This window comes from Homo sapiens, chromosome 2 (genome assembly GCF_000001405.40).
Source record: "Homo sapiens chromosome 2, GRCh38.p14 Primary Assembly".
NCBI lineage: Eukaryota > Metazoa > Chordata > Mammalia > Primates > Hominidae > Homo > Homo sapiens.
Window position 1 is genome coordinate 33,504,842 of NC_000002.12, and position 13,445 is coordinate 33,518,286.

The 13,445-nt window shown below is 39.5% G+C and overlaps 1 protein-coding gene across 16 annotated transcripts in view; it reads left to right on the forward strand.

The window, feature by feature from the left end:
* The window catches only part of RASGRP3 (RAS guanyl releasing protein 3), a 128,384-nt gene that overhangs the window by 68,494 nt on the left and 46,445 nt on the right, over positions 1–13,445 (forward strand). For 11 of the 16 annotated variants that reach the window (NM_001349975.2, NM_170672.3, NM_001349978.2 and 8 more), the window contains 3 exons: positions 6,869–7,001; positions 10,169–10,365; positions 11,701–11,803. In NM_001349975.2, the coding sequence (NP_001336904.1) occupies positions 10,296–10,365; positions 11,701–11,803 (173 nt within the window). In that variant the 5' untranslated portion in view covers positions 6,869–7,001; positions 10,169–10,295. Of the gene's footprint in view, positions 1–6,868; positions 7,002–9,033; positions 9,179–10,168; positions 10,366–11,700; positions 11,804–13,445 lie in introns of those variants that run through there. The other 5 variants (XM_011532746.4, XM_047443877.1, NM_001349976.2 and 2 more) reach the window with 2 other exon arrangements.

A 13,445-nucleotide genomic window follows, 5' to 3' on the forward strand; every position in this document is an offset into this window, starting at 1 on the left:
GTTGTTAAAAATGCCTTCCTGTTCCTAGTGAGCACATGAGGCTGAGCACGTTGGTATTGGCACCAAGTACTAAACAGAAGTCAATAACCAGCTCAGAGCTCATCTCACAAGACCTCATTGCATTTTTTGGTGAGAATTAAGTAAAAAGCAAGATTTAGCCACATTTTAGTTATTGCTGGATTGTTTGGGAGGAGCCTGGCCTCCCAGAGTTTGTTGGGGAAAAATATCAACACTGTGACCAACATGAAGAGCACCTAAATGATTCCTCCTCTTCCTCCTCCTCCATATCATCACCATCATCATCATCATCATCACCACCACCACCACCACCACCACCATTATTATCAGCATCAAATCCACTCAGAATTAAGTGGAACAACAAAGGAGTAAGGGAATGTGACTTTATTTCAGGGAATTTGAGACCAGGTACTTCCAGAGCATTAGGACCGCAGACAGGATTTTTTTTTTTTTTTTCTTTGAGATGGAGTTTTGCTCTTGTTACCCAGGCTGGAGTGCAATGGCGCGATCTTGGCTCACCACAACCTCTGCCTCCCGGGCTCAAGTGATTCTCCTGCCTCAGCCTCCTGAGTAGCTGGGATTACTGGCATGAGCCACCACTCCCGGCTAATTTTGTATTTTTAGTAGAGACGGGGTTTCTCCATGTTGGTCAGGCTGGTCTCGAACTCCTGACCTCAGGTGATCCGCCCACAGCCTCTTAAAGTGCTGGGATTACAGGCGTGAGCCACCATGCCAGCAGGATTCTTCGGAATACAATATTGGTATTTTTGAGAGAAGAAAATATTGATCTTTAAAAAAATGATTTTCCCGAAGTTTAAAATTTTAACTTCTGAGGCTCAAGTTTCCTAGTTCTGGGTCTTAACTTTGAGGCATTATTTGGAAAGTGAACACTCGAGTTGCCATAGTAGGTCATAATCCTTCAATGTGGCTGAATGTGTCCATCTGGAAGCCATCCAACTGCAGGTGTCTAGCATGTATATATATCATTTCCCTGCTATGTTCGGCTGCAGCCAAATGCTAGGAGAATACCCCCTTGGTGGGACTTTGGAATTTCATGGTATTTATTACTAAAGCTTCTCTAAGATTCTCATTTCTTGTTCAACTTATGTCAGGTAGCTGTAAATATGTTGGTTTGGTTGCCAATATTCAATACCAGTAACCAAGAAAACATAAATAAAATGCAGTTAAGCTTTGTTACTTGTTAGCAGAAAATGCAACAAGGCCTTGTGAGATGAGCTCTGAGCTGGTTATTGACTTCTGTTCAGTACTTGGTACCAGTGATTCCCTGAGTTGCCAAGCTTGCTGTAATAGTGAACGTTATTCATTTTCAGACAATAGGGCCAGTGATAGAATGCTTACCAGCCAAACACAGAGAATAACAAACCTTTGTTCTGGACAATGTCTAGAAACTGATCTAATGGGCAGGCCTTAACAACAGCTAAAATTTTTGTGGGTAGTAGAAAAACATAAATTTTTGGAGTTGGACTTGGCTTTGCAACTTAACTAGTAACATGATACTGGACAAGTAATTTAACTTCTTTAGGCCTCAATTTCCTTATCCATGAAATGGAGATAATAAGACCTTAGCTTTCGGGGTGTTAAAAGATTGAAAGATAACATAGGCAATTTTCCCAACATTATATCTGTCACATTACGTTGCGACCAACAAATGGTATTTTTAGATGCTGTTATTACTTCATTTTCTAAAATCCAGGACAATGTTGATTATTAATTCCCCATTAACTTAGTGAAATCTCTTTTCAGGATAAAACAGACAACAAAAATTTTTAAATCTAGGAAAATCCTATTATCACATTAAATAAACACATCCAATGCAAGAAGGACAAAAAATTTCTTTTAGAGTTGAAAATTACAGTATTAAGTGTGGCTCCTTCCTACTGTCATTGTTAAATAACCTTTGGAGATACTGCCTCACCATCCATAAATATGGGGGATTTTAGTCTTCGTGTCATCAGTTGTGGTCCATTTACAATGAATGAACTTTGCCATAAGCACCAGGCCCATTTCTTATATTCATACTATCCCAGTAGGTTTGTGATAGAAACAAGTTTGACAGTGATGACAGTATGACTTTGGTGGAGCACACTGGGAAGAACACCTGATTGAAGAAAATAAAATAGAAAGAAAAATTCAAAGAACAGAATAGTGAACTTAAAAGGAATGAGAAGGAAAATTTAAACAGAAACAAGACCAATGCAGAAATAAACAAATAATTTCAAATATAGTCAACTGAGGCCAGGCACAGTGGCTCACACATGTAATTCCAGCACTTTGGGAGGCCAAGGTGGGCAGATCACTTGAGATCAGGAATTCAGACCATCCTGGCCAACATGGTGAAACCCCATCTCTACTAAAAATACAAAAATTAGCTGGGCATGATGGTGCGTGCCTGTAATCCCAGGTACTCGGAAGGCTGAGGTAGGAGAATTGCTTGAAAGTGGGGGGCAGAGGTTGAAGTGAGCCAAGATCACACCACTGCACTCCAGCCTGGGTGACAGAGCAAGACTCGGTTAATGAGAGCACTGGAGAGTGTGAGTGGTGGGGCAGAGATGCAGAAAGCCTAGTGGGGAAGGTGGGGATCATAGGAAAGGTGGCTCTGGTGGTAGTTACCAGAATGTAATATTTTGGATCAAGTCAAAGGATGGGAGAGAAATGATTTTCTTGAGACTGAGTCTCTCTATGTTGCCCAGGCAGGAGTGCAGTAGCAGGATCTCGACTCCCTGCAACCTCCACCTCCCAGGTTCAGGCGATTCTCCTGCCTCAGCCTCCCAAGCAGCTGGGATTACAGGCATGTGCCACCACGCCTGGCTACTTCTTGTATTTTTATTAGAGATGGGGTTTCACCATGTTGGCCAGGCTGGTCTCGAACTCCTGACCTCAAGTGATCCACCCGCCACAGCCTCCCAAAGTGCTGGGATTACAGGCGTGAGCCACCGTGCCTGGCCCATATCTGGATTTTTAAAAGATTCTTTCAGCTGCAGAATGGAGAATAGATTGTAGTAAAGACCTATACTGTGGATGGGGAAACCAGTTAGTAATTGGTTAAAATCATTCAGGCAAGAGATGATGGTTGTCTAAACCAGCATGTGTCCATGGAGAAGGGAAAGAAGTGGTTGGTGGCAGAATTTCTTTTGAAAATAGATTCAGAAAGATTTACTGATCCATTGTCTATGGGGAATGATCAGAATCAAGGATAATTCCCAGATTTCTAGCTAGATATTTGGTTGGCTGATGGTGCCATTCCCCTGCGATTGAGAAATTGAGAGTGGAGGGGAGGAGAAACAAGTTTGTGGGAGGAAAATGATGAGTTCACTTTGGCAGTATTGATTTAGAGATGCCTGAGATTCCAAGGAGAAATTTTGTTTTAAATGATTTCCCTTGATCATATCAAGGGGAAATTTTGAGTTAACTTCTAGATATCCATTACGGACTTCTGAGTTAAGACCTGGGCATCTTTAAGTGCTAAGAATTAGCAGGAAAAAAAATATTGGAGGAAGAGGCAGAAGAGTGAGAAGTTAATTCACGTAACGTGGTCCCTGGGAGGACAAGAGTAAGGGATCCATGCACAGGTGGAGGGATTGACCTTGGATAAAGAAGAGGGCCACTTCTTTCAATGCAATAGCAGGAGAGACCCCCCAAAAAGGGCATCCATGTGGGTAAATTTCTCATTTTTATGGAAGGAAATCAAGGAAGTTTCTGTCTGGCAACTTCCATTTACTCTAAAAAGGAGACACGGTCATCTGCCAGAAGGTATGATGGATACCATTCTGACGTTTATCGAGAGGAGAAAATGTACAAAAGCCATTGTGAAAAGAGAAGAAAGGAACCAGAATTATCAGGATTATTTCTGTCAAGAGTAGAAGGCTGATGTTTTTCTTCTCCTGGAGGTATTTGTTTGTTTTTTATTGTTGTTGTTTTTGAGAGGAAGTTTAGTGTTCCTTGCTTTTTGGGCTATTGTATCATCTACCCATGTCATGTTTCTAAAATTACTTCAGATAACTTCTGGAACAATGTTTGTGGCAAATCTCCCCTGCATTCAAGAAGCAATTATGAGTTTCTATTGTTATGGTCTAGTTACACTTTCCATAAGTCTGAGCCTCAGAACTAAAGCAAGGCTGGCATTTGTTAGGTGGTGTCCTCACAAGGGCACAGATCCTAGCTCCCATTTCACCTAGGTTTGCTTGATATGGTGAAGAGGACGTTAAGATACCATTGGAAATGAAATAATAAGAAAATCAGGCAGGGTGTGGTGGCTCATGCGTGTAATCCCAGCACTTGGGGAGGCTGAGGTGGGTGGATCACTTGACGTCAGGAGTTCGAGACCAGCCTGGCCGACATGGGGAAATGTCCGTTTCTACTAAAAATACAAAAATTAGCCAGGTGTGGTGGCACATGCTTGTAATCACAGCTACTTGGGAGGCTGAGGTGGGAGAATCACTTGAGCCTGGGAGGCGGAGGTTGCAGTGAGCTGAGATCATGCCACTGCACTCCAGCCTGGGCAACAGAGCAAGACCATCTCAAAAAAAAAAAATCCAGATATGATCATGCCATTCTCCTTTCAAACAATGGCTTCCCGTTGCCCTTTGGATAAAGGATATACTCCTTACTAAAGCTTACAATACTGTCATGAGCTACTTCCACTGACGTTTTAGTCTCATCTCTTGCCATAACACTTTAGTCATTGTAAATGTCTTTTCGATTTCTCATAATTGAAAAGACTTCATCTTCATTACTAAGCTAAAACTCCTCAGGCTTCTAGACTAAATTAGTGCCCCTCCCTACCTGCTCTGTGCTCCATAAGATATTTTATTGTCATTGTTCCTTTAATTCTTTGCTAGACTATAGAGGCAAGGATTGTATCTGTCTTGCTTATCCATTTATCCTTCACTTCCCCGACACCAACCCCTTCTACCAGCCACTCTAGTATTCTGTTCGGTGTCTGGTGTCTAGTAGATCCTCAGTAAGTATTTATCAAATAAATTAATTGTCTTTCAGAGTTTTTATTATTTCATTTACTAACCTCAATCTTAATTCTCCTATGGAGTATCAGGTAATATAATCACAGCACTTTAAAAAAAAATCTCATGTCTGTGGTGATAAAGAGAAATTAAGTTTGCATATTTCCAGAACAATGAATGCTGACATCTTTGGCATTAATCTTTAAGACTTCAAGGTTTGTAACAATTAACACTTGTATTCATGAAGGATTAGTCATTTAGAGAAACCTCTTTGTCTCCATATGGAGGTCATATGAATGTAAAGATATTTATGTAGTCATTTATGCATAAAGATAATAACTGCCATTGGCAGGGAAGGATCTTCAAGAAATTCTTTTATCTTGGAATAGAGACAATGTGATAGACAAGACAATTGTTGAAAGTTCTAATATGGCCAACATCATTTCAAAACGATTTGTTGAATACTTACTAGTTACAATATTTCACCTTATAAATCCTACAATTCTAGAGCCAAGAGAAAGCTTCCCTGTCATTTTGGCATACTTCCTAGATACCGTCTGGGAATTTAGTCTACAACATCTCTGACAGTCATGACCTAACTTTGGCTTGAGAACCTTTGAGAATTGGAGTCCCTTGCTGGTGAGGCTGCTTGGCCCCCTAATAGGTGCTCCAGTGTCATCGTATTTTTTCTTCGAATATCTTTTCTCTTCTCTAAATGAACACCTCTCTCCCTTTCGCTTCTACAAATTGGTCCTCTACTTCAGGCCTCAACTTAAAAGACTTTTAATATGGGAGGGGAAGAAGTAGTGCAGGTAAAAGGAGACCCTTTCCCTGAGCACTCAGCGTTCTGCAGGCTCCGTGATGGATTCACTTTATGTGACCTCACTAACTCCTTAAACAGTCTAGTAAAGTACGCAGCATTATGGAATTTTACTCAGAGATAAGTCAGACTTTCCCCATTCAGTTACCTAATGTTGAAACCCGATTTTTTTTAATGGAGAGGTTCTGAGTCAAGAGCCTGGTATGCTCATTTATATCTGTTAATGAACAGTTACATGGAATTGGCTACCTTTTATTATTTCTAAAATTGGGAGCACTGTTCTTAGTGTCCTAGGCAACCTCAGAAGGATGTTTTTTGACAATAGAGGCTTCACAAGTCATGTTAATGAACGTCCTTTTGCTACAAGAACATATTGTAGCCTTTGAAATCACACCCAACAAAACTCTATTGCCCTTTAAAAATAACACTTTTCTTTTAGAAATAATTCAAACCCTGGGAGAAATTTGGCTTATTGTGTCCCTTTCAGACTTGGGAGAAAATGTATATGCTGGAGAACAATAATTTTCATGGCCGCCAGAGAGTACCTATCAACACCACAGCAAGTCCTAAACAAACAGCAAGTTCTTAAGGCCCCATTGGGAGACTAAACAACCTGCTCTAAAATAACATTGACATTCATGTTGAGACAATCAGTAGTGATTTAGGGTCAGAGTTTAGTGATCATGACCACAGACTGTTTTAAGGATTTACTAACATTTCAAAGTCAATGTTTGGAAATTCTTAATGAGTAATCCACTGATATATTTGCATGAAACAGTAGTTTATACTATGTGTATAGAACTTGGTTTTGTTGCATATGTGGGTTTTTAATAGGCTGCAAAAAGCTTACTTGATTTAAAAAAAAATTGTCTTACCAAATAACTATTTTGAATATTTGCCCTTGTTAATTGATGTTGTGGGTGAAGTTTAGACAAAATCTCAAATACCACCTATAACTCAAAGTTTTTGAAAATGCTTTAACACAATGTGGATTCTTTGGGGTTATCATGATCTAATTCTATATGGGGGTTTCTTTCTGTTCTTTTGTCAGGTTCTCCAAAATACTTATCATTCAGGTTGAATAAACCAGTTCTACAGACTGCTTCTTCCATGCATTTCCCAATGATGCTAGCTGCCCTTAAAATTCTTTCAGATTTGGAACTGTATCTGTATGGAAACAACAGGTAAGTATTTCTTTAAATTGTCATAAATTATGTAAGAATTCTAATAAAAATTAAATATGCCTAGAGAAACTAAAAGAAACGTGCTATGATGTTAATAGGAGTTATCTTTGTATGATGAGATTAGGGATAACTTTTTCCTTAATGTCCTGTTTTAAATAATAAGTGTATATTGCTTTTGTGATAAAGAAGCCTTATTCTGAAAAAGGTAGTTGTAGACACAATAATGTCCACACATAGGAAATGAGATCTCAGGTAAATGTGCAGGTGACAGAAGGTGGAGCAGAGACTCAGACACATCTACTGATTGCAGAAACAGATTGTAACCTGATAGCCCGGCCCACCTGGCCCGTCGTGTGCCAGTTTCTTTGCAGATCAGAAATATAACCCTAAACGTGGTGATGAGTCTTTGGTTCCAGGTTATCTCTAACCCCTTATGGGGATGTGAACACCTTCCCCAGACAGCTCAGCTGAGTAATTTTGGTTTTGAATTGAGAAACCAGTTTAGTCTAGGCCTATTTGTTCTAAGTAATATGTCTACTCTTCCGTGAGTAACAGGCTAAAAAAAAATGTCTGTATACACATGAAGGTAATCAAACTTGTTAATTGTTCAATCTTGACTTTTAAGGGTACTGATAGAGTTTACATTAGAGGAATCAGAGAAGTTCTGCCCCAGAATGTCTTGGAAAAGGCAAGTTCTAATGATGAATATAGGCAGATTCTATTAAGTTTAGAAAACTGGCAGAAATTTTTGTCCCAGTGATGTTTACTTAAAGCTGATTTAGTAAACAAACTTCAAAAAGTCTCTTAAAAATGTATGGTATCTATACACACTCACATAAATATACTCATATTCAATGACAAACCTCTGACAAGTTTCATGATATTCATTTCCTCACCCATTAATCCACTCGTTTATTAATTTAGTGAATAATTTTTGAGTATCTTTTATGTGAGAAGCAAAACCTTAGGTGTTAAGGTGTATACCAGAGAACAAACACAAAAATCCCTACAATCTTGGAGCTTATGTTTATGACACTATAGAGATTTAAAAACAAATAAACAAGTAAAATATATAGTTTGTCAGATGGTGTTAAGTGTAATGAAGAAAAATAAATCCAGGAAAGGCAGTAGGACATGCCAAGTGAGAGGTGGGTGAGAGCTGAGAGGTGCGTTGTTTTAAATAGGTCAGGAAAGGCCTTACAGATAAGGTAACTTTGTTAAAAGATATAAAAAAGTTAGTTCCAGATGACTTTAATAATCTGCTTTCACAAATCATTTCAGCAGCAGAATTGGGAAAGCGTTTGATCCAGCGTTTCTGCTGTTTTTATTGAACACTTGAAATAACCCTTTATTTTATGTTCTAAGAGTGGTACCTTCAGCACAAGAATCTGGTTCTTTCACAGAATTAATAGAGGGCAAACATTTTTTCCCCAGAGTTATGTGCCTGGTGAACAGACTCATTCCAATGTCACTCCAGTGGTCTCACTGAACTAATACAACCATACATATGGACATTAGGTATTTTTTCCTATTCATTCACATGTTTGTTTTCTGAAGTTGACTATGAGCCTGTTGAAGGTAAGAATGGGACAATGATTTGTTCATCTTGGCAGCCTCAATGCCTAACCAAGTTCCTGGCATAGGTCAGGTGCTCAATGATTGCCAGTTGAATAAATAAAGTTCAAGAGTAAAATAGACATTGACTTTAAACAGCTCACGAGATGAATCCTCAATGGCTGCATTTACCTACTAAAATGTCTAAAGTGGATAAATGTCTTACAACATGACAGCCTCCCTCCTGCTCCAAGTCCTATGGGGACCTGGCATCAAGGACCTGCTCTGTAAAATAAAGTGATAATGTCTATCCAGCAGCGATGCTTTTGAGTATAAGCAACTATAAGAGGCTATTGCCAATCACGTTTTCCCCATGACAGTGCTGGCAAGTGGGATAGCTCTCATCCTCACATTTTCCTTCTGTCTCTGTAACAGATAATCTGTCTTACATCTTCTTTCTGAGATGATGTGGAGGAGTGATACCCTTTACACTAGATTAGCAGGCAAAACTATGATGGTTTGTGATATCCATGCTTGTAGAAGTAATAAGAAGAAAGGGAACACAGAAGCTTTATTTTATAGTGGAGTCCTGACTCTAGGCCTTAATAATTGCATGGTTTTGGGTAAGTTGCTAAATCACTGTGAATCCCATCACCTCATCTGTAAACTGGGAATAATAATTACTACCTTACAGCATTGTTGTGAAGGTCAAGTTCAATAATATATGCAAAGCATTCGGAATGGTGCATAGTACATAATGTGGGTGTTCAATAAATTAACAGTAGTATTTTTACCACTGCAGAGAATAATCTTACTCTCAGGCAAGTAGAATCTGTTACAGTTGTTGAATATTTATGTAATCATTGAGGATGTTTATAAATATATTTGCTTCTAAAAATTTTTTCCTTACATATTCTTTTATTAATATTAAACCAAGTAACATTTATAATATTCTTGAATATCTTATCACTTAAGAACATGAGGAAAGGTGGCCGGGCACAGTGGCTCACACCTGTAGTCCTAGCACTTTGAAAGGCTGAGGTAGGTAGATTGCTTGAACTCAGGAGTTTGAGACCAGCCTGGGCAACATGGTAAAACCCCATCTCTACAAAAAAAAAAAAAAAAAAAAAACCCAAAAAATAGCCAGGAGTGGTGGTGTGTGTCTGTAGTCCCAGCTACTTGGGGGTCAGAAGTGGGAGAATTGCTTGAACCCGGGAGGTCGAGGCTGCTGTGAGCCGAGATCGCACTACTGCACTCCTGTACTCCAGCCTGGGTGACAAAGTGAGACTCTGTCTCAAAAACAAGAACAAAAACAATCAAAAAAAAGGATATAAGGAAAGTATAAAACATTGCATTAAAAAATTTCAGCAGTGAAGTGGGATGGTATATAACAGGGAACATTTCCATGGTCTCCAAGCAGCATCCATCCCCGAGAACAGCTTAGCAGGTATTTTGGCATCATAAAAGGTTGATGTAATCTCAGTCACTATGATACTTTTCTTGTACAAAGATACAGTCTATGGAAGTCATTATCTTTTCAGGTAGGAAAGTGATGCTCTAGTGGGGTCTGAACTCTAGTCTAATAACTTTCTCTCTTTTTTCTTTTTTTTTAGAGTTTTCTTGAAGTACAACTAAGGACAGGTCACCACTAGGCACTAACATCGCTGACTTGCATGATTATGGAGATGGTCTATCTGATGCTGAAAATGTCTCTAGTTTTTTGACAACGGCTAAATAACCATGGGATCAAGTGGCCTTGGGAAAGCAGCAACATTAGATGAACTGCTGTGCACTTGCATTGAGATGTTTGGTACGAGCCTTTTCTCCTTTCATCTCTTTTGGATCTCTCGATGCTCTCACTTTCCTCTATTCAGAGGCAAGTTGCTTGTAGAACAGAGTTCAGTCTCTGTACCTTGGTATTTAAGGCCTTTCGGATGGACCCGGGTCTGTCTCTCCAGTTTCACTGCCCTCCATATTTCTTTCCCTTTACTGCCCACAGCTCATACCCCAGTCAAACTGTCTACTTAATGTTTCTGGAACATTCTCTGCACCTTTCTACCACCATCCATTGGTCATATTCCCTTCACTGAAATTCTGCTTCAGGGCCCTCTCAGATGTTCATAGTACCATTCCTAGTCTTCTTGGTCAGGAATGCTGCTTGCCTCTTCCCCCATCCCATATCCCATTGTAATTCCTTATAGCACATGGCATATGCCTCTGTAATTGTTTCTTGGTCTTTTGACTCAGTCTTTTGACTCAGACGAATGTGAGTAGCACAATTGACTACATTCTACATTCATACACGTCATATCTGCTACTAGATTATACACTTTTCAGCTGTATGCTCCTTGTGTTGTTGTTTTCATATCCACCTCAGCATTTTGGGTTATCCGTTGCACAAAGAAAGTCAACCCACATGGGAGTAGTTATTTATTAAATTGATTACTATAGAAACCAGAGTTAAACCAGTGCAGGGTTGCCAGATAAAATACAGGATGACCAGTTACATTTGAATTTCTGACAATCATTTTTAGTGTTAGTATGACCTAAATAATGCCTGGGACATACTTACAATACAGAAATTTATCATTGTTTCTCTTAAATTCAAATTTAACTGATTGTCCTGAATTTTACTAAAACTGTCAACTGTAGACCAGAGGAAGGGTAAGACCCACCCACCTTTACTTGCAAGGAAATACTAGCCGAAGTAGGAGGTAAAAGATCACTGGTCGGCCAGGCGCAGTGGCTCACGCCTGTAATCCCAGCACTTTGGGAGGCTGAGGTGGGCGGATCATGAGGTCAGGAGTTCAAGACCAGCCTGACCAATATGGTGAAACCCCGTCTCTACTAAAAATAGAAAAATTTGCCAGGCGTGGTGGCAGGCGCCTGTAGTCCCAGCTACTCAGGAGGCTGAAGCAGGAAAATGTTTGAACCCGGGAGGTGGAGGTTGCAGTGAGCCGAGATCATGCCAGTGCACTCCAGCCTGGGTGACAGAGCAAGACTCCATCTTAAAAAGAAATAAAATAAAAGATCATTTGTCTATGAAAAGTTTTTGACATATGACACTACTGCGTCTCTACTGATGTTAGAAAAAGTAAAGAATAGCACTATTATCTCCTCACTTCTTGTTTTATTTTTCTAACAGATGACAATGGAGAGCTGGATAATAGTTATTTGCCAAGAATAGTTCTACTGATGCACCGATGGTATTTATCTTCCACTGAATTGGCAGAAAAACTTCTCTGCATATATCTTTTCAACTACTGTGTAATTTTTACAATCATAAATCAAGCTCTGTATTTAGATAGAGTGTCTATCCAAAGCCAGTAAATTAAGATGAATAAATAGTCTTTGGTTATCCAGCTGTTTTGTGAATATATATAGATGTCTAGACAAAACACATCTGGATGATAGACCAGATAGTTGACTCTCCATCTGGATGTTTTGGCTGTACTTGAAAATAATCACTAAGATGTAAAATGAAGCAGGAACTGTAGGCTGGATGTTTCTAACTTGTCTTAAACATTTCTGTTATTAGAACAATGAGAGAATATTTAACAATGATTCAAGACCAAATTTGTTTCTTCTGGGATGGCAAAATGGTGGGCATAGAGGACGCAGCTTAATCATATGGAAATACAGCCAAAATAATATGCTCTTACTTGGGCACAAACATCAATTTAGTTTTCACATCTCCCCTTGCTGCCAAGACACAATGAACATTCTAGCAGACTTATTATAATTTGTTGACTGATACTAATTTTAGATTTTCTTCTGAAATGAAAACAAAAAAATCCCACATGGTTAGAAACACCATTCCGTAATGAAGGCTTTTAGCAGTCTACCAGTTCTCTACATAATGCAGTCCAGAAAAGTGGTTGAAAGCCAAATGACTGAAAATGCAGTCTCCCATTTGTAAAAGGTTCTATTCCCTGAGAGCCAATGCTTTTATTATACAATCTCTAATGTCAGTGCCTGCAGTCTCTGCCTTCTTCAAGCCCATGAGGCCCTGGAGATGAGTGAGAACCCCTACAGGGAGGGGGAGCCTTAGAGAGAGAGGCACAGCCTTAGAGGGAGAGGCACCATCAAGTGTTATTAGGGCCTGCCAAGGCTTCTGGAGCCAGTAGGGTGTCCACCTGTTCAGTTCAAGCTTCCTCCACTTTCTACTTCTTCTCTTCATCCTCCTCACAACCTCAGAGCAGAAAAGGATATTAGACAGTCTATAAGGTCTGTGGAAGTGAGCAAGATCCTAGCTCCCAGTGGTCCAAGGGTCATATGACTCCACTGTTGAGGTGTAGAAAATAGGTAAGGATGGAGGGCATTGACTCAGTCTGGCCATATTCCTGACAACCTAGACATTGTCCAAAGAATGTACCCACCAACAGCATTCTCACCCTTAGCATGGCCACCAATGCATGAAACACAAATAAAAAGGGATATTTAGGCATAGTAACGTTTAATGTGGAAAGTTGAAGACTGCCTGTGAATCGACATTTCTATAAACTTTCCTCCCTTTGGATTCCTTGCTCATGCTATATCCACAGTGCCTGGCATATACACAAGCTCAATAAATATTTGTTAAAAAGAATATGAATAAATACGCTTACAAGTAAATAACACAACTTGAGTATTAATATACCTGAAAATGACATTTTCAAATATTAAAGAAGAAATTAGAGTACCCATACAGTTACACATAACATAACGACGGGGATACATTCTAAGAAATTCATCATTCGATGATTTCATGATTGTGCAAACATCATAGAGTGCACTCACACAAGCCTAGATGCTGTAGCCTACTACACACCTAGGCTATATGATACAGCCTATTGGTCCTGGACTACAAACCTGTACAGCATGTCGCTGTACTGAATTCTATAGGCAACT